Consider the following 20,572-nt stretch of genomic DNA (forward strand, 5'->3'; position numbering starts at 1 on the left):
ACCAGATGCCCACCTGCTAGGTTATCTCTCCTCCACTGCTTATTCTCTCGAAATAATACACTTACTGCCTCTACTTCTGACTAACTCATTTACTCATTCATTCAGGAAACAAATGAGCATCAGTGATTTCAGGATTGATATTGTGGAATAAACCATAAGTATCTCTGCTCTTGAGACATGATCTCTGCTCTTGAGATGGTTGTGGATTTTTTTTCCTCTTAAACACCCACAATACCTCCACAGTCAGTCGCTCTTGATCAAACAAATCACTCAACCCAAGTCTTCTCTTAGTCCTCACTGATTTCCTTCTTCCATGGAAACTAATGTAGGAAAATGTGCCAAAGCAATCTGAAATGATTATTAAGACTGTTTCTAATGACCGAAGGGAAGGCTGAATTTTGTGTGTATGTGTAAGTGAAGACAGGGCTAGGAGAGTACAGGGAGTACAGGTAGGATGGGATGATTAATTCCCAAGGATTTAGTTCAAACTCAGTTAAAGAACTCTAAAAATTGGCACATAGCTGTGTTGTCAAAGGTGAATATCACACAAAAAGTCTTTCATTGGAAGCAATCTGCACAGGAAATAAACTTAATTTCTTCAAGGTAATGAAAACCAAAGACATCACTTTCTATGCTGTAAATGCACTCTTTGTAGGCCTTCTGACCCAGTTTAGTGACTAGTTTAATATTCAAAGAGTAGATATGTCCTCTTCACTTTAGAAAGTTTGATGTTTGAAGACAATTTAGGTCATTGGCTCCTGTGACAGCATTTCCCCTGTGAGAAAGCTACATTTAAGCATCCATCTCTTGTATTATTGATAACAAACTGGTAAAGGCCATGAAGTCCAACAGCTTTGTCTCTGGGCCATTCAGAAGAAGCAATTAAATCAAAACTATTCCAGCTTTCCTTTTAGAGGAATACCTCTGTGCTCTGAACACCAAATCTGTGAAGGTGGAGTTCCAGCATGCTTTTTTCTTTTCAAATATATTTTAATCATCTTCTCCATACCAAAGCAAAATCAGAAATGACATCATAGATACATTAATTTTTGGCTAATCACATAATCACTATTACCTTGGTAGAAAATAAAATGTGTTCTTTCAGATGCAGAGCAAACACAGCTTTCCTCCATGCTTCTTACTCCCATGATTTTGAAACCACCCGTCCTGGAATCACCATTGTTTCTATGTTAGTCTAGCTCCACTTGGGATTTCTAAGGGCTGAGAATGAATTTTTACTTGTCATTGAGTTTCTAGTTCCTAGTCCAGACTTTGTCACACAGCTGATTTCTGCAGATATTTGTTGAACACGTTTTCCCCTAAGAACATTTCAAAATGTTAAAATGTAAAAGTTCGAACTACTGAGCATTGCACATGAAGTCCTTCCTGTTTCTGGTCCTAGCTTATGCTACACTGCCTACTTTTCCCTCATGCCTACTTTACTCAGGTACCCTGATCAACTTAAAATCACTCAACATGCCATGCTTCTTCACACCACACTGCTTCTGCACATACTCTTTCCTCTCCTTGGAATGTCTTTTATTTCTTTCTTTCCTTATTGAAATCTTAATCACCTTTTAGATTTGCCCAACTCAAATACAATCCCTTTTATAGTTAACTTTTTCCTCAAGCAAAATTAGTTGTTTCACACACTGCTTTCTTGAATATCTGGTATGTTCTTCTACTACATTTTTATTAGAAAGCAATATGATTAATTATTCATGTCAATTTCCTCCCATTAGTTGGTCAGATCCTAGACTGTAAAGATTATGCTATTTTCATCTTTGCATTGCTAACGTAACACATGGAGCTTGAAACATGGGACATGGTCAAAAATATTTATTGGATTGAATTGATTTCTAGTTCTGAGTCCATTACACATATATGCTTTGCCATTTCCTGATAAACCAGACATATTTACCTTCTTTCAATATTTGTTTTTGAACAGAATTTGGAGGGATAAAAATTTTTTTTAGTTAATCAAAGAAGTTGCTTTTTAGTTTAAGTAAAAACCACTATCTCAAATCCTTTTTGGCATAAGATTCATGTAAATAAATAAAATGGATAGTCACTGTGGTCATTTTAAAAGGCCCATCCTCAATAAATTACATGCTGAATTGCAGTGTTTGAAACTGTATCAAACACTTGTATTATTTTTCTCCCTTGAATTCTGATTACAACCAAAGTAAATACCCCTATTATGCTTTCTTATTGATAAAAGGAAAGAAAGTTATTAAAAATAGAATGGAAAAATTGAAAGAGGAACCTTAGAACAAAGTATTGAGTGCCTGCTCTCTTATTACCTGAGTATCCTGTGAAAGCTAGTCTCTCAACCTGCTGAGGTCAAAATATGATCATTTGAAAACTCTACCAAGTAAGGTCTGAGATTTTAGAAGTCAAAGTTGAAGGAAAAATTAATATTAAATATTGGTAAACTGTGTCATTGTGATATTTAAAATTTATTTAGAGGAGACAAAAAATATCTCACTGACTACAGAGTCCTGGAACAAAGAGGGCAGAACAATGACCCAGTAAGTCTTCAAAATCACTCAAGGTGGTCTAAATATAACTGATTAAAGAAGTAAATGTGGATGGATAGGGAGATAAAGCATGTTCCCAAAGACTATCTTTTCTTCCTATAACTCCACAGAGGATAACCACAATTACATACAAGTTTTTATCTCCAGCATGCAGTATGGCATCTCACGCATAGCACGTACCTGGAACATTTTTTTGAAGGCATGAATTCATGAATCAACTTATGACAGACTATGCCCTCTTTCTGAAATGTGGACACTTTTCATCAAAACCAAGCTCTGTGAAATAATGGAGCAGATGATCTGACCCATGCAGCAATCCTTTTTTTTTTTTTGAGACAGAGTCTCGTTTTGTTGCCCAGAATGGAATGCAATGGTGCAATCTCGGCTAACTGCAACGTCCACCTCCCTGGTTCAAGCGATTCTCCTGCCTCAGCCTCCTGAGTAGCTGGGACTACAGGAGCGTGCCACCATGCCCATCTAATTTTGCATTTTTTTAGTAGAGATGGGGCTTCACCATGTTGGCCAGGCTGGCCTTGAACTCCTGACCTCAAGTGATCCACCCACCTTGGGCTCCAAAAGTGCTGGGATTACAGGTGTGAATCACCATGCCCACCCCATTTAGCAACTCTTTATGAGTGACCACTACTACTAATATGGACACATTCCTAGTGGCACAGCCAACATTTTGTAAAACTTCCTGATGTTAACTTCAGATAGTTAAATGTATAGCCTACTTTAGACTGATTTTCCTTAAAACCCATGAGCTAATTTGCTTTTATTTACAACTTGTAGCATTATGTTTCAAAACAGCAAAAACATATCGAATGCTTCTCATGTGTAAGGGCATATTCTCAGAACTATAGGTGCATTAACTTATTTCACCACAGTGAAAAGTAATTAATATTATTAAACTGTTCCTGCTTTATTCAACCTGTCTCAATCACAAATTCCTCATCTGAAAACCAGAGATAAGAAGGCTTCATTACTGAAGATTAAACAACGTATAAATCATGCATCTTAGTCTCCAACCACAATAGTAACTCAATAAAAGTTAATTTTCTTCCTCTCTTTGCTCAACTTTACCCGTTAAGTTTTTTTTGCTGTTGTTATTGCTTTTAAAGGTATTTCTGTATGAGAAATTTAACATCACATTACTCATTAGGGAAATGTGAATTATAATCACAATGAGAAAAAGCTATACAGAATGGCTAAAACTAAAAAAAGAAAAAGACAATGCCAACTGGTGAGAATGTGTGACAACTGAAACGCTTATATTGTATGTTAAAGGGAGTAGGAAATGGTATGATCATTTTGACAAACTCTTTGGCAGTTCCTACTAAGGTCAAACATATACCTACTCTATAATCCAGCAATTCTATTCCTAGGTATATAACAAGACAAATGAGTGCTTTGTCCAACAAGAATGTTCATAGCAGCTTTATTCACAGGAGTCCCAAATGGGAAATAACCCAAATGTCTACTAACAGGAAAAAAGATAAATCAGCTATGCTGTATTCATACAACATATGCACAGAATGACAGACTGAAGAAAATGAACAAATTTTAGGAGCTTGTTGAGTGGAAGAAGGCAGACACAGGAGTGCATATTGTATGACTTGACTTACACAAAGTTCTAGACAGGCAAAACTAATATAGAGTGTGTTTTGTATACTTTAATGTGATGGCCAATCAGATGTGGCCATGAGAGGAGGCACAGGAGAGACTCAGGAAAACAAAGGTTATTATCTTCCCAAGTCCTAGAGACAGGAGGCACTGTATGCCATGCAGGGTCACATGGGAAAAACACCAGGGTGGTTAGGAGGCAGAAGACGGGAGCTACAGGACAGCTTAGACCCCAGCCTTTGCTGGGGTTTCCTAGGGAATGGCAAGGCAGGCAGGGTAATCATGTTAGGATTGGCTATTCTGAATAATTTCAGTGGACTGTAAGCTATGGGGTGGTCCCTAGTTGCCTGGTACCTGGCCTTGGGATGATTAAGGCAGAGGAATATTGTGTCCTGGGGTGTAAGGGCCAGATAGAAGAGGCATGGCTCTGGATTGTTAGTTTGTATATCAAAGCCATGCTCCTGGCTAAACCTTGCTATCTCTAAGAACTGGCTAGCCCTAGGAGAGGCGTTCTCTTCTCAGCCAGAAAAGTCTTTTAAAGATGTCAAATCAGTAAAATATGCAGAACGTAGTACGTGTATACACACACACATACAATACAGTGATGGAAATCTGACAGTGGTTACCTTGGGTGGTAGTGATTGTTGTGATATTAACTGGAGAAGGTCATTAAAGAACTTTCTAGGGTGATGCCAATTAATACGTCTTGATATGGGTTGTGGTCACATGGCTGATTTTTTTTAAATATTATTGAGCTTACAGAAAAAATTCACAAATTCTACTGTAAGTTATACTCAATTCAAGAAGGTTTTCTTGATGATGTTCTACTGTTCACTTAAGTAGGATACCTGTTAGCAGCTTTTACAGGATGGTGGAGGATGACTATACTAGAAAAGTCAGTTTAGATGTAAAGAGCAGCTATCCGGAATTCATCTTGGTATTTATTCAGGACACATCTGAAAACACATGTTTTCCTTTTGCTCAGTGATACGCCACTATTGACAACTGCAAAGTAATGCTCATGATATGATTTGGATATTTGTTCCTTCCAAATCTCATGTTGAAATATAATCCCCAGTGTTGGAAATGGGGCCGGGGGGAGGTATTTTGGTCATGAGGGCAGATCCCTCGTGAATGGCTTGGTGCCCTCCCCATGGTAATGAGGGAGTTCTTGCTCTGCATCCACAGATCTGGTTGTTTAAATATCCTGGCACCTCCTCCCTCACTTTCTTGCTCCCTCTCTTTCCTTTGACAGGCCTGCTTCCCCTTCACCTTCTGCCATGATTGTAAGCTTCCTGAGGCCTCCACCAGAAGCACATGCTGGCCCCAAGCTTCCTATATAGCCTGCAGAACCATGAGCCAAAATAAACCTCTTCTCTTCATAAATTACCCAGCCTCAGGTATTCCTTTATAGCAATGAAAATGGACTAACACTGCTCACTATTCCCTTTGCCTAACATTTTATAGCTGTCCAGAGCAAAAGAAAGATGTTCTTGCCATAGCTCTTGTTTACTATAATTCTCTTAAGGCTGTTATCATTCTGGATGAAAACATTTTAAAACGTATAAAACAGGATAAAATGTTTCTCCACAATGAGACAGTTTGCAAAGTTGTTTGGATATGGAAAATGAGTTTGCCAGGGGGTACAAAAAAGGGAAAGAAAAGTGAAGATCCCTCCTACAGTGTAACCCTCTTAATAGAGCATCCTGCAGTGGCTGAGCAATTCCCACATTTAATGACTAATGAATTTGGGTTCGCCTCTGCATTTGCGCAGCTGGGGACAATGGTGCTGTCTATGGAGCTTCTTTGAGGCAGAGGGTGAGGAGGTGGCCACATTGCACTTCAACTTGAGCAATGTAAACTAGGCAGACTGTTAAACAAGAATGAGCTGTACATCAAAGCAGTATACATTATAAATATACCCCCAACCCTGCACAGAGGCAGTCCCTCACGCCACTCTCTTCAGCCCACTCCACCCACGACGTGCCCCTCTACTTCATACTTCATTCCCTTCAAGGGAGTTCCCACTGTGAGCAATAATCTCTAGCATGCGTCCTTGCCTTTGCCTGTACTGCACCACTGTACTTAATCCTGAATAGTTTTTTCTGCCCCTTCTTCTGGTTGGTATCTCCTTCAGTACTCAGCTCAAGGGTTATCTTTTCAAGGAAACCTTGCCCATCTTCCCAGCCTGTATTTGGTGTTTCTATCCCTGCTCACCAATGTGAAAACATGTATCAAGTTATATTGTTATTTCCAATTTCTTTGTCTCCTCAATTCCAATATTAGCTCCTTTTGATCAAAGGCCTGTTCTTTTCGTCTTTGAATTTCTAATACCTAGCAGAGTTTCTGACACTTAGCAATAGATGATTGTAGAATGAATAAGTATGTGAAGAGTAAATCAGTTGGGGGTGAAATGTTAATTTTATACTGCTGTTTTGATGTATGAATTGCTATACACTTAAAAACAAAACAGTGCTCATTTGACTGTTTTACATTTGTATGAACTATTATCCTTCAGAAAAACTTCAATGAAAGCAGGAACATTCTGTTGAAATATTAATAATCTTTTATTCTGAACTCCTTTAAACATGGTTAATTTTTCAAAAATCATAAAAATTTTTTACCCCATATTTAGTTTACTGTGACATTACTTCCAAACAATGTGCTATTTTCTTTCTTTTTTCAAGGACATAAATTTGGGATGTTGCAATTTCAGTCAACCAGAAGAATTGACAAAGCTTGTGGAACCTTTTGTCAGTGGTGAAACCATGAACAATGGGAGCAACTCAAGAAGGCATTTACGGGGACATCTGAACACATCCTGCCATCTTAGGGTGGAACTCTAAAAGCATTTCTTCATGATTTCAATATGTTCCTCCAGTGAAGGAGAGTCTACTACTTATTCCAGACTCTCTAAGCCTCTTAATCAGAAATACTGTCTTTATAGTATACCTAAAATCAGATTCTGTAGTTGAACTCCATTTCCTCTTGTTATATATTAGCAAAAGGTATAGAAAAATTGTTTATCATTACTTGCAGAGTGAAATCATAGTTTTAGATCGCTTGCCATGCCTTCTAGGTCTGGGTAGATTCCAGAACCATTAAGCTATTATGTGTGTAGGAAGTTCATGCTAATTGAGTTAGTGAAGCACTGTGCCTGCATCCTTGCTAAGAGAGGCTGCTCCCCTGCCATATCACCTGCTAGATGAATGGGTCTAGGTGGCCATTTTTAAATCTTGTGACTCTATTTCTCTGACCAGAGCTAAATAAACAAGGGTCGACATATCACCAAACCTTGGTTAATGAGATTTTCCATAGGAAAATGGGAGAGGATAAACTAAGGAGACAGAAGGAAGGCAACTTCGAGATTACAAGGAACTAGGCACTATACCAAGTGTTAGCAGAATACAGAATAATAGACGAAGCTAACTTACAAAGAAAAGTATAAAGTAGATGGGCCAAGAGAGGCAGAAATGAGAGACTCCAGGGCCCCGTAACAGAGAAGTCTGGGTCCCTGTGGCTGTACTTCATTTCAGTCATTGGTATTTTAGAGGTTAACTTTAGAGGAAAATTTTTATTTAAGTTATCATGAGTTGATTAACAATTATCTATGTGATAGTTAATGTTATATGTCAACTTCTCTGGGCTGTGGTGCCCAGAGATTTGGTCAAACATTATTCTGAGTGTTTCTATGAGGGTATTTTTGGATGAGGTTTACATTTAAATTGGCAGACATTGAGTAAAGCAGATTACTCTCCATTATGTGGGTGGGCCTCATCTAATAAGCTGAAGGCCTGAATAGAACAAAAGGCTCACCTCCTCCGAGCAAGAAGGAATGCCAGCAGACTGTCTTCAGATTTTATCTGCAACATCAGCTGTTCCTGGTTCTACAGCAGACTCGAGCTAAAATTTTCTGGCTCTCCAGCCAACTTAAGCTGCAATTCTCTCCTGAGTCTTCAGCCTGCTGGCCTCCCTCATCAGCTTTTGGACTTGTCAAGTCTCCACCACTGCATAAGCCAATTCCTTAAAATAATCTCTTTCAATATATATATACATCCTACTGCTTCTGGTTTGTTTTTTTTTTTCTGGAGATTCCTGACTAATACAATCTACAATAACTCCAAAGTGAAAGCAGTTGCACATAGATAACATGCATCCCCTGAGTCTAGTTTATTACAAAAGACTCCTTGAATTCTGTTAATTTGCATTGCATCACTTTTGCTTTATTAAGTTGAAAGGAACGGAATTCATATAAACTGCATACCAACTATACGCAAACACAAACATATTAATTTATGAATAATACAAAACAGTATTTTTATTATTTCAATTTATAATGAAAGACACTAAGACTCAGAAAAGTTTTCTATCTTGTCAATAATCATTTTGAGAATTGGCCGTTTCATTCTTTTTGTAGTCAAGTACCTAGACAATCTACCAATGTTTATTATTAATGCATGATATAACTCTATAATCTAGTTGGGCCTCAGATGAAGAGAGACGGTAACAGGGGCAAATACAAGATGCAGAGGACTGCAGGGAAGGAGTTTGGAATTAGAAAAGTCCTTAATATGTGGCTTAACCTATTTGGGCCAGAATCTTTTTACCTATAAAGAGGAGTAACTGAACCCACCACATTTGTTCACAGCGTTGCTATGAAGCTCATTTCATTTGATGTAAAGGAAAGTACCCTGTAAATTGAAAAGCACCTTTCAAATGTTAAGCTTTTATTATCATTTCATTTTCAGTCCCTGTACATTTCAATATATATATTTTTGTGAATAATGACATATTTTGAAGAACTGAGACTGCATCAATTTTTTTAGAGGGAGAACAAGTATTCTCCTACCCCTCATAAGATAGCCCACCACACACTGCTCCCCAATAAGCACGAACGATTTAGTCTCAATTTCCCTCAGACACTGAGCAGTTTCAAGACAAATAGGAACATCCAAATGGCTTTTCCGTCATTCCTAAGTAAATTCAAGAATGTTAAAGGTGGAAAGAACCTTAAGGATCATCTCATAGTTGGCAAACTGTGGAGCACAGGCCAAGTACCACCTGCCTCTCTTGTGTACAGCTGTTAAGCTAAAAATAGTTCTTACATTTTAGAATGGTTGAAAGCAATGAAAATTAGAATATTCTATGACATTCGACAATTATATGTAATTCAAATTTCGTTGTTCATAAATAAGTTTTATTAGAAAACAGCTATGCTCCTTTGTTGTGTATTGTCTGCGGCTGCTTTCATGCTTCGATGTAATATGAATTGAGTATGGCAGTAGAGGCTGCATGACGCATAGAGTAGTTACAATAGACTACATGAGCAGTTGCAACAGAGGGTGTATGAGCCACAAAGCCTAAACCAGTTACATTCTGGCCTTTTATACAAACCTTGCCTACCCTGATCTAACCTTATTCTCTCATTTTATAGATGAGAAAGCTGAAGCATTGAAAGATAAAACTACTTATTCTAGGTAACTCAGCTAGGATATTAATTAATGCAGAATCAATTAAGAGCTGAAATTCCATTTTTTGTCCGTTTGATCATGCTGAAATTAATGACTAAAATTAGCTATAGTTATACTCATCTTTAAATTATATAGCTTGCTTGTATAAATGACTAGATTTTATCTCAAAATCTTTGAATGCTCACATGAGCTAATGTCACATAAAAATTTGTCTTGAGAAAGTGAAATATTTTCTTCACTTATTCATTGAAATGAAATGTATATTGCATTGTTCTTAAGCAGTTCTAAGTAGAAGTTATTACAGAACAAAATAATGGTAAAAATTAAACATTTCACTGGATAACCATCAATCAAACTGAAAAATATGCTCTGCTTTTGATTTAAAAAACAACATATATGGAACATTCAAACATTTTCAGACAAATTGGTTACATTCGATTTTCTTACAAGAGATGATTGACAATAAGATGAGAAAATGATTTCTTAGTCTGTGTTTAGTGAATAAAACTGGACCAGTTAATTTCCCAAATGTAAGCTAAATTTCAATTTCTTGTAAAATGAAAAAGAAAGTGTGTCTAAAGTTAAAGCATTCCCTTCCTATCACTAGGAAGTATCTCTTGGGATTCCAGCAAAATCAATTACGTACCCACCCGTTAATATCTATTTTCAAGGGGAAATGTTTAAACAGTGTTGCCAACTGGGGGTGATTTTTCCCCTCGCCCCCAAAGGATATTTGGCAATATCTGGAGAAATTTTGTTTTTCCCAATGGGGATGGCATCGCGGGGGTTGGGGGGTGCTCCTGGTTTGTTTCAATAGAAACCTGAGATACCAATAAATGTCTTACAAAGCACAGGACAGATGTCCCCCACAACAAAGACTTATTAAGCCCCAAATGTCAGTAGTGTTGAGGCTGAGAAATCCTGTTTTAACGAAACATCATTAGGCTAGCCCAAAGCTTTCAACGACCCTGCAAACTTATCTGCCAGGTCCTAAATGTTCAAGTGATCCTTTATTTGTGGACTAGCACAATAGAGCAAATATTTCTTATGGAAGCCTATATGATAGCTCATTCTTTCCAATATTTTCTTCTAGCGAGATTATCACAGAGATTATGCCAGCAAATAGTTATTTGCCTTCTTTCCAGCCACATGTATTATTGATCTTAACCAACAAACAGTAGCATAATTTTCTAATAATTCTGATCTCTTCCATAAGCAAGTTATTTTGACTCTGATTTATTTTTTCCCTGTAGGAATCTGATAAGCTAAGATTTCTATTTGACCTTGATCCATGATACATGATATAGTAAAATAACCTATGACTAACAGAAAAATAAATCCTAAGTCATATTTACCTTCAAACGGAAACACCAAAATATTTCAGTTGGGTAGAGCCTACACAGTTATCTCTAGACATTTTCCAAAGACATATTTAGAGGATAAAGCAAGGGTGGCCCCAGCAAGTTTAACAGTACAGTTTTTCTTCTAACAGTATTTTATCTATTTTACAATGTAACCCAGTCAATAATATTAAAGGAAATATATTAACATATGTTAGATCACCATATTAAGAAATACCTTTTCTCCAACATGATGAATAGATGAGATAATTTTTATCTCTCACTTTCTCTTTCAGTGTATATTATCAAAGCAGATATCTGGTGCTACCTACAAAGATTCTTCCTTGAGTACATATTTTATTCTGGGTCACTTTCACTGAGCACGAAATATTGGTTTAACTCCCTAACTAATCTTCCAACTTGGGGAATCGATGAACTAAATCATCTCAAGGTCAAGGTATTCTTTAATCACAAAAAAATTACCAAGACCCTATAATACCATTTGGTTCCTCTGAGTAGCAACTTCAGAACACTAATCAAAAACATAGTTACTCATTTTCTCCAATATTTACCTATTCAGATATAATTCATCTAACACCCGAGACATTCTAGGCTCTCTGCTAAATGCTACACACACCAAATTGAACAAGATATGATTCTCAACTTCAAGAAGATTTTCAAAATGAGTTGGAAGAGCTAATAATACCACAACATGCTAAAAGTAAAGCTAGAAATACCCACTGATGTTTATGGACATGCAGGAGAGGCGAGCTTTATCTAGCTTAGAGGATTCAGAGAAATTTTTCTGAACTCATCCTACTTACCTGCGTTGAGCATTAAAATATGGGCAGGGTTAGCTAGGAGAAGGTCTGGTGCAGGTTTTCCAGGCAGTAGAAATAAGTCATGCAAAAAACTCAGCTACACGGAATTCCATGATTTGAGGAGGGGAAAAACAAGGTAAGAAGGCAGCAAAGTAGGCAGAGGCCAGATCACCTTGGGTCTTGTATTCCATGCCAAAGAGCTTAGGTTTTATTCTGCAAGAGATGAGGAATCACTGAAGAATGTCAAACACAGCAGCCTCTTGGTCTTACTTGCATTTTAAATGGACCATTCTGGTGGCTGTGGGAAGGATGGATTTGAAGTAGACAACACTGGAGGCAGCTGTAGTATTTTGGGCCCAAGTAAAAGAGAGACTGATTTTGGGAACTAGGAATAGACAGAAGGGGGTGGAACAGAGATATATTTATGAGGAAATCTGGCAGAACTGATTGGCTAATTACATAAGGATGGGAGAAAACAAGGCAAAAGGCACAAACCCAGGTTTTCCAGTTTGGGCAATGTGGTGAATGGGTGATCCTAGCAGTTGGGAGATAGTATAGAGGAAAAGGAGCAGATGAGAGGGAGCTTGCTTGATTCAGCAATGGCCACTTGATTAGGGCAGCAGTTAGACTTAATGTGCTTTCTCTGCTGCAAAGTTTTTCTGCCTCTAATCATGAAAGTGTACAGTCTCCTAAAGTAAACAAAGAGTGAGTCTGACATGCCATATTTTCTTTGAATCCGGAATACTACCTATCGACTACACATTTTTGGTATCTAAATTAGGTTTCCTGCATGATCCCTTAAAAAATAATTATAAAAGTCATTCAATGCTCTGTGAGCATGAGAACTTTAAAGATGTGGATACATTTTGAATCTATATAAATGTATAGAGAGATACTGAGTGCTCAATTTTTAACAATAAAAATGAGATACTGAGGCCTGGTCATGCCAGAGCCTAATTTTAATGAGCCAACATCTCTTTACTAAAGCATTACACTTTAGAAGCAGATATTCTCAAATGTTAAGTGTGTAACATTCATCTGGGTTGTTTGTGAAATCCAAGTTTGCAAGGTCCACCCAGGGGTTTAACTTAGTAGGTCTATGTGAAGTTACTGTCATCTGATTCTATCATAGATAGTCTTGGATCACACTTTGAGAAATACTGCTTCAAGTACTCATTGTGTTGGATAAAACTTTCTTCATGTAAGACAATTCAATATGTAAAATGTAGGAATTCTTCCTACCTTCCTTATCAGTTATCTATTTTATCTATCTATCTACCTACCTACCTACCTACCTATGCATTAAACCTTGAAGAATCTTTACTTATTTGGGAGAAAAGAAATAAAACTCATCAATGATATCCCTACACTACAACTCCTATGCATGTCCCTCTGAAAATGAAGTACAGAAGAACCAATAGTTAGATCTGAATTCCGAAAGGCTATTAAACACAAATCTTCTGTGTGATAAACATAAAAATTAAGTGTGCCCTTCCTAGAGATTTTGTTATACCTGAACCACCCCACCCCAGCAGTCACAGCACTGTATTTTTGCCACATGCTCAAGAGCCAGGAAAATTGTGTTCATTCTATTTTTTTCATATTAAATATTTAATATTAAGCAGCATTTAAAAAATTTTCCAAGTATAAAATTAATTGTAAATATAATTATGCTTTTCCAAATGAAAGCCCTAAATGTTCTCTTCCTCCTCCTTTCTGTCCAGAATCGTTGGTTAGTTTTTGAAGGTTGTGCGGTGGAGGTGGTTGGGTTGGGGAGTCTAGAATTATGGGCATCAGTTATGGCTGCTTCAGCCTTTGCCCCAAAGTGAACTGGCCACTTCTCACTTGGTCCTATCACATACCTTGGAATCTAAGGGACATGCCCTTGAGTGACCACTGCAAGCCCAAGGGCCATTCATTATAGCGGAATAAAGAAAGGGGGCATATGTAGGATGTTCCAGAATCTTGACCATGAAGACTATTTTTAGGAGCTCTCGTTCACAACCATATCTCCATCTAAGTTCAATAGCATAGAAAATTCTGAAATTTCACATCACGTGACTAAAAATTTTCATGAAAAAAATACAGAGAAATGATCATACAAACAGAAAATAAAAAGAAATAGGGAAAAACACTTCTTCAGATTCTATCATCTAGAACTCAGAGCAGGGCAGCTGAACTCAATTTACTTCTCTTTCTGTCAATGATCTTTCATGATTACATTCTGAAAATCTGAGAACTGTTTACTTAAAACCTTTTGCTCCCACTGTCGACTAACACAAAATCTGTTCTTCCCAGATACCAGCATCAGAGGGGCCGCTGAATTAAGTTTCCATCCAGCTCAGCTGAATCTATGGCAGCTTTTTTCAACGTGGGGTCCTTCCAAGAGCTCTGGACTTCAGAATCACTGGCAGAACAGTGAAAATGCAAATTCCTGAACCCACCACCTACCTACTCAGTCAACACCTCCGAGAGTGGGCCCTGACTATTTGCTTTTCTGACAAGCTCCCCAAGTGGTTCTAAGCATTCTTGGGATTTCATATATCTTTCATGTGTTTGTTCATTCATTAAACATTTGTTGAATACGTTTTGTTGGTCACAGCCTGTAAAACTCTTTTTCATGCTAGATAATGGAAAGGGAGAAAAAATATGATCTGAAAATTAATTTGGAGCCAGTTGAGGATACACCAACAGAAGAGCAGAGGGGAGGGTGTGGAACCGCTGCTGGGTAGGCAGAGTCCTGGCTCCCTGCAGGAAGTCATCTGGCAGGACAGCAGGGCCCTTTCCCCTTGAGACAGACCTTGCCAGGGACGTTACTGTGCCTCCAAGCATCCCAGAGTGCAGTGGCCCCTGGACTTGGATGTCCCAGCCATTTCCTCCTCACTCCCCAGTGACCACACATTTTCATTCTTGCCTCCACAAAAAAGGTCATCAGGAGACAGAACTCTCCAGAGAGACAGGAGGGTTTCTTGTTGCCTCAGGAATTTTCCTTAGGCTGCCTGAAGAACATTTCACAAAAAGGCAAGTCACATGGTTCACTGTTCAGCAGCCTGAGTCGAAGCCACCATTTGATACACACCAGACCATTTTCCCTCTCTGCTGGGTTTTAGTTTGGTCCCATTTTCTTTTATTCTTTTCTTTTTTTCTTAAGGAAATCTGAGGCTGGCAGGCTGAGATGGAAAGATGGAAGTTTCTTTTATTTGTAGCCATTAAAATTCTGCCTAACAATACATCATGTTTTCCTAAAAGCAGTTTATTCTTCAAGTTTCCCATCTTCAAGTCACTTCATGGAATTAGTCCATTACAAATATCCTGGCCTTGCTTGCCAGGATTCACTGATATATTCACCTAGACATAATAGGTGTGCATTTCCTCTCTTGTGGTGGAAATTTAACTGTTGCTCCCTAGGATGTGGCTGAGTACCCTGTCCAGGCTAAGCAAAGTTTCTGGTTTACTGACATCATTCTACCTCCTTTGTAAAGATTCAGAATTTTAGATGTGAATGGGACAACTTGAACATCATAAATTTAAAACACAATTGAAACAAATTTCAACATAATTATTCCTTGAAGAGTTTGAGAACACCAGAGGGAAATCAGTTCCTGGAATGCCTGAAATCAACTATAGAAGACAGACCAAATACATTTGGTTATTTGGATCTTACTTTGCTTCAGAGACAATAGAAAGAACATTGGTTATCATTATATGGAATTATAGAAGTGTAAAACATTAGCACTTGGGCAGAATTTGTGCTGATCTGATAACCCAACCTGATCATTGCTCCTTCAGTTAATTCCCTTGTGTTACCTACTTTAGGTAATACTTCTGTATCACAAAGAGAAAGGATAAAAAATAAGAGTTTGGGCTTTTGACTAGATTCCCCCCAAAAAAAAAATTAAAAAGGGAATTTACTATGTAAAACTCTACATAGTTTTATCAGAAGGCAGGGTATATAACAAAAATACAGTGACATTACTGACTGAATAGTATTTGCTTCAAAGAATTCTGCTATCGGACACTCCATGGGGCTCATCCTCATTAATGAGATGAGTGAGATAAGGAATAATATTCTTTACTTTTGTCAGTCCTACTAGAGACAATAACTGAAATACCCTTTCTAGCCCGGGAAAGAGGAACTTCCTTCTCAGGATCTTAATTCTTAGATGCTGGGACCACCAGCCAACCCTACAGCAAAGATAGAAACTCAGAAGTTATCCTAGATTCCTCTCTCCACCACAACTAGTCCATTTAGCAAGGCCCTGTTTATTTTACCTTCATTACTTTTGCCTTAGCCAGGTTCTCATCAATTCCCCAGGCCTCTAATCTAATCTTTCAGCTTCCAGTTGCATCATCTCACCCATTTTAGACACTACAGCCAAAGCAACTATACAATACCTAAATCTGGTGATCACCTCGCTGCAAAAATTCTTTTAATTGCCTCTCCCTCCCCCCTAGTTTCAAGATAATGGTCAAATGCTGTAGCTTAGCAGACAAGGCCTTCTATTAGGTGGGTGAAAATGTAATCGTGGTTTTTGCCATTAAAAACCTTTTGCACCAACCTAATATGATTTAAACACTGTTGTTTACCCGTTTCCTTCTTCCATTTTAATATTCAATTCTTTCAGTCCAAATAGACAACGTTCTTCAATGCCCAAGTTGCATAGCAGGCTTCGGACACTAGATCTAAATCCAGTCAAGACCCAAACCCTTCATTTTAAAGAAGACATCAAGTTACAGAAAGATTAAGTAATTTGCCCAAGGTCACACAGCTGGTTAGGAACACAGTGGAATTAGGACCCAGTGTCCAGGCTGACTTTTCCAGAATATAATTTCTTTATTCTATTTCTGACATTGCTTAAAGTGAGCAAACTCATATGATTTCTCAATATAAAAATTTGAAAGTCTTAAAAATGATACTAATCATTTGGTCTTCATTAACACACTGACTTAAATATCTTTCCAAAATCTGTCACAAATACAGTGTCCCCTTCTCCCAATGCAACCCATTTTTCAGAAGCCTTCCCTTCAGTAAGTTCGCCAAGACTTCAATACACAGAAAGCTCTCTGCCCTAAAAATAATCTTCGAATTCAACATGTTACCAAAATAAAATCTTCCAAATAAAACAATGGCAAAGATAGACCTGATAATGAATATGAAATATGCTAAGAACATTCTGTCACTGAAATAAACTTGACTTTTTTTGTGATTAATAGTAAGATGCAATCTTGAAACACATAAGAATAAAGCAAACGACAACAGAAGAGAAATGATGTAGAAAGGGTCCCATTTGAAATTTACCCATTTGAAAACAGGCTCTGTCTTTTGGCTATCATCATTGTGTGCCTGTCCAGAAATTCATTTCCAAGTTTTATTTCCAAATGCAACCCCAAATTCAAAATGTGAGTGTGTTGGCATGTTCAAAAATTGCTCTGAGATGGACAAAACAACAAATGAGATGCTTTCAGGAGGAATAATAAGTACATTCCAACACTCATTGGGTTTAATTCATACTTCAGATATCGGCCTTCCCCTTCTAATTCTTTTGTATCCTGTTTCTATTAGGAAATGGAAAATAAGGAAATAGGATTATGAAGCCATTTCTAAATATTAACGTGATACCAAAGGAAGTTAGCAAAGATACACACATTTTCAAGGAAAAGGATAGAAAGGGAAATTGGCTTGAGTCCAGTCTGTCAGAAATGGTGACTGATCAGAGTTTAGCTAAATCTAATCAAGCCATCAGGACCTACACTGCATTTACTGACAGGTAGGGGCACTGAGAGAGGGCAGGTCATATTAGAACAATGCTTGGAAGAGGAATAAGCACTACCTGTTGAATAGGAGAATTGGCTTTGTTACCTTAAGATTTCAATAATCTACTGGATTCCTAGAGAATCCATTCATCAAATTAACATAGTGGTGGTAGTATGGAGGGAGGTGGAACAAGAGAGAGAAGGGGGAGGAAGGGAGGGAGGAGAAAGAAAGGAAAGGACATAAGAAATACTGTTATTAAATATTTCATTTCTAGATTAAGCCAGGAAGAGCATTTACCAAAACATGCAAATTATTATTCATGAACTTACATTTTACTCAAAAGATAAAATGGCAAGAATACATAGGAACTAGCAAAGCAAACACAGGAATCCATAGGAGAAACATACAACAATCCATAGGAAAAAAATACATAGCATTCACAGCCAGAGAGTGGACAATACAATTGCTCATATACCAAAGCAGCTTTGCTTTCTTTCTAAGTATTGCTGAAAGAACTTGGTATGACTTTATTTTTTTAAGAGTTTGAAATGTGCTCAATATCTGAAGTCTCAGAAGATAGCTATGATCTTTCAAAAATACAGATGTCATTTGGGAAAAAAGTTCTCCAGTAAGGTTCCATCCTGTCTTTTAGATATTGAAAAAATGGGAAGGACACACAGTAATGCACTTTATTCAATAAATTATTACAAAGCATCACTTTAATAAAGGATGGTAAGATTGAGCTGTATGCCAATGAAAGTATGGCTGTAGCATTAACAATGTCTCCTGAAAGTATGGACAGCACTTTCAGTTAAAAAAGATGACAGAACTCACTCTCCTAAAAAGACAGAGCTTCTTCTAAAAGAAGTACCTCAGGTAGGTACTTCTCTGCTGGTTTTGTGACTAGTAAATGAATAACATTCTCCATTTAAAAAAAAACTAGCATATTAATTAATCATATATGGAGAGTGATAGTCACCTATCTGTCAAGAAGAGTTAAAAAGCATTATTTTGGGTTAAAGCTGATACATGACTTTAACTGAAAAAATGTTTCTCATTGCACTTCGAATTACTGGAGTTGAATTCTTTCAGGGAGACTTAGATATGCCCATTCTTTGCCCCTGACTCTTGATTCACTAGTGATTCTGGAGAAAATGTACACCAATTTGTTAATTCTCTGGCCTCATTCTTTTTCTTGCCCTATCACACATGTTGTTACAACACAGCAAAAACACACATATCCAAGGAAAAGTCTCTTCTACTACCCATACCCAAACCTGCCTTTCCTCCTAAATAGTCCCTAGGGAAGCAAGCCATCGCCATGACAACCATATGATGGGAGTTTGAACAGCACTTGGGGCAGCCTTTGTTGAAAGTTAATACCAGTTGGTGTTTAACAAGAAAAGGAAAACTCAGGCAAGGGGTAATACTCTGTTGTGAGGCACCACTTAGCTGTATGGAACTAACTGTCCCCATCAAATCTTACCTAACCAGAACACATCCTCAGAACAAAATTCTCCAAGTGTAACGTATTCAGGGCTAATTCATTAATTCTCCATTGTAGCCCACTGGACTCAATGCTCTGTGGTCACTAAATCAAAAGAGCATACATACTCAGGAAAAGAGAATTAAGAACTTTGCCTTTTTTAACTTCGAATGGATATAGAACATCAGAGATATTTATTTTTCCCTATTAAGTATTACCACCTTCTATTTACTGGGCAAAAATGCTTGTTTCCTGCACCTTTAAATCTAATTTGTGTTTTCCCCCCTACAAGAAAGATCATGAAGGTGGATTAGTACAGAGTTGTATGGACTTTTTCAGTATCTTTAATGCATTTGCTTCTGGAAAGAGAAGCGCTGCAGACACACGGTGGCAATTCCTGCTCAGGTGTAGTGCCATTCTTTTGTGTGACTCACAGCTAGAGAGAGAGCTGACATTCAATATATGTTTAACAATACTTTCCCACTACTGATTCCACTCAGGAGACTCACATTTTTATGCCTTTTCTAAAAACAAGGACACAAAAAAAGTCACTGTCTGAGGAGGCTCATTCTTTGTTCATCTTCACCTGACTGGCCACCTAACTACACAAAGCTTTTAAACTAATGAGGAGAATCCTTTGTTCTCTCTGGTTCCATTTAAAGGGAAAGTGGGTCGAAGGGCTTCCCCAGGGAGAGAGAAAGAAAAGCCCAGGAGCCAAACACAAGGGAGTAAGAGATTTCACTCCCACTACTATTCCCACCCTCCCAAAGAAGTTAATTAATTCTGTTTTAGGAATGGTTAAAAGGGGTGGGGGAGCACCAGGTAGCCCATTCTCTGAGACCAAAATCTCCTTCTCGAGTGTGGTTCGCACCAGCCTCTTGTCTCTGACACCACGGGGTGTGGGTGGGGGGCGTGGGGGGAGGGCAGGAGTACTGAGAACCTCTCTCCAGCCACGGACCACAGAGCCAGTACTGCATGCATTTAGGCTCCCCCAAAGGTGCGTCCCAGCCCAAGTCCCCAAGTTGGGTATTTAAATCTAAAAAGCACAATTAGCGCCATTCAAAGCTGCAAGTTACAGTACCTTCAGAAGTCTGACAGATGGAAGAAAGGCTGCGTGGCACAGCTTCCGGATGGTCCAGTTTAGGGGTCGAGGAGCATCAGCCTGATTCATGACCCCTTCCAAATTCCACCAGGAAAACAAGAAACTGAAAACCTGAGCAATGCCTAGAAAATAAACGGTCCCCCACGGCTCTGGCATCCCATGGTCATCTCCACACCTGCAAATTCCATTAGGGCAGAGGCTTCCTGGAACTTGGAAGACTAGTCAAGTAGCCTTGCCTGAGCCCCTGAACCTTCTTAAAACAGCCACCTCCCCTCTCTCTGCAGCCGTGCTCATGCATACCAAATGTGGCTGAATGGAGGCACACTGCCTGCTGCTTCGGGGAGGGGATGCACGATTTTGAAGAAGAGGGACAGCCTGCACAAAACAGCCTGTGGTCGGAGTCAAAGCAGCCTGCTCCAGAATGCGCGCTCCCT

The 20,572-nt window shown here is 38.3% G+C and overlaps 1 protein-coding gene across 14 annotated transcripts in view, besides 1 other annotated feature; it reads right to left on the minus strand.

Moving 5' to 3' along the window:
* Nucleotides 1–20,572, minus strand: part of TRPM3 (transient receptor potential cation channel subfamily M member 3) — a 917,912-nt gene that overhangs the window by 572,001 nt on the left and 325,339 nt on the right. For 10 of the 14 annotated variants that reach the window (NM_001366150.2, NM_001366151.2, NM_001007471.4 and 7 more), the window contains exon 1: nt 20,118–20,561. The exons of the other annotated variants lie outside the window; for them this stretch is intronic. In NM_001366150.2, coding sequence (NP_001353079.1) covers nt 20,118–20,294 — 177 coding nt within the window. In that variant the 5' untranslated portion in view covers nt 20,295–20,561. Of the gene's footprint in view, nt 1–20,117; nt 20,562–20,572 lie in introns of those variants that run through there. 14 annotated transcript variants of the gene reach the window in all.
* Nucleotides 19,369–20,206: an enhancer, noted in NCBI's record as "OCT4-NANOG-H3K27ac-H3K4me1 hESC enhancer chr9:73735345-73736182 (GRCh37/hg19 assembly coordinates)". NCBI's record gives its function as "activates a minimal SCP1, AML or CMV promoter by ChIP-STARR-seq in primed H9 embryonic stem cells {active_cell/tissue: H9 hESC(primed)}" and the evidence as "EXISTENCE:reporter gene assay evidence [ECO:0000049][PMID:30033119]".

Source organism: Homo sapiens, chromosome 9, assembly GCF_000001405.40.
Source record: "Homo sapiens chromosome 9, GRCh38.p14 Primary Assembly".
NCBI classification, from domain to species: Eukaryota; Metazoa; Chordata; class Mammalia; order Primates; family Hominidae; genus Homo; species Homo sapiens.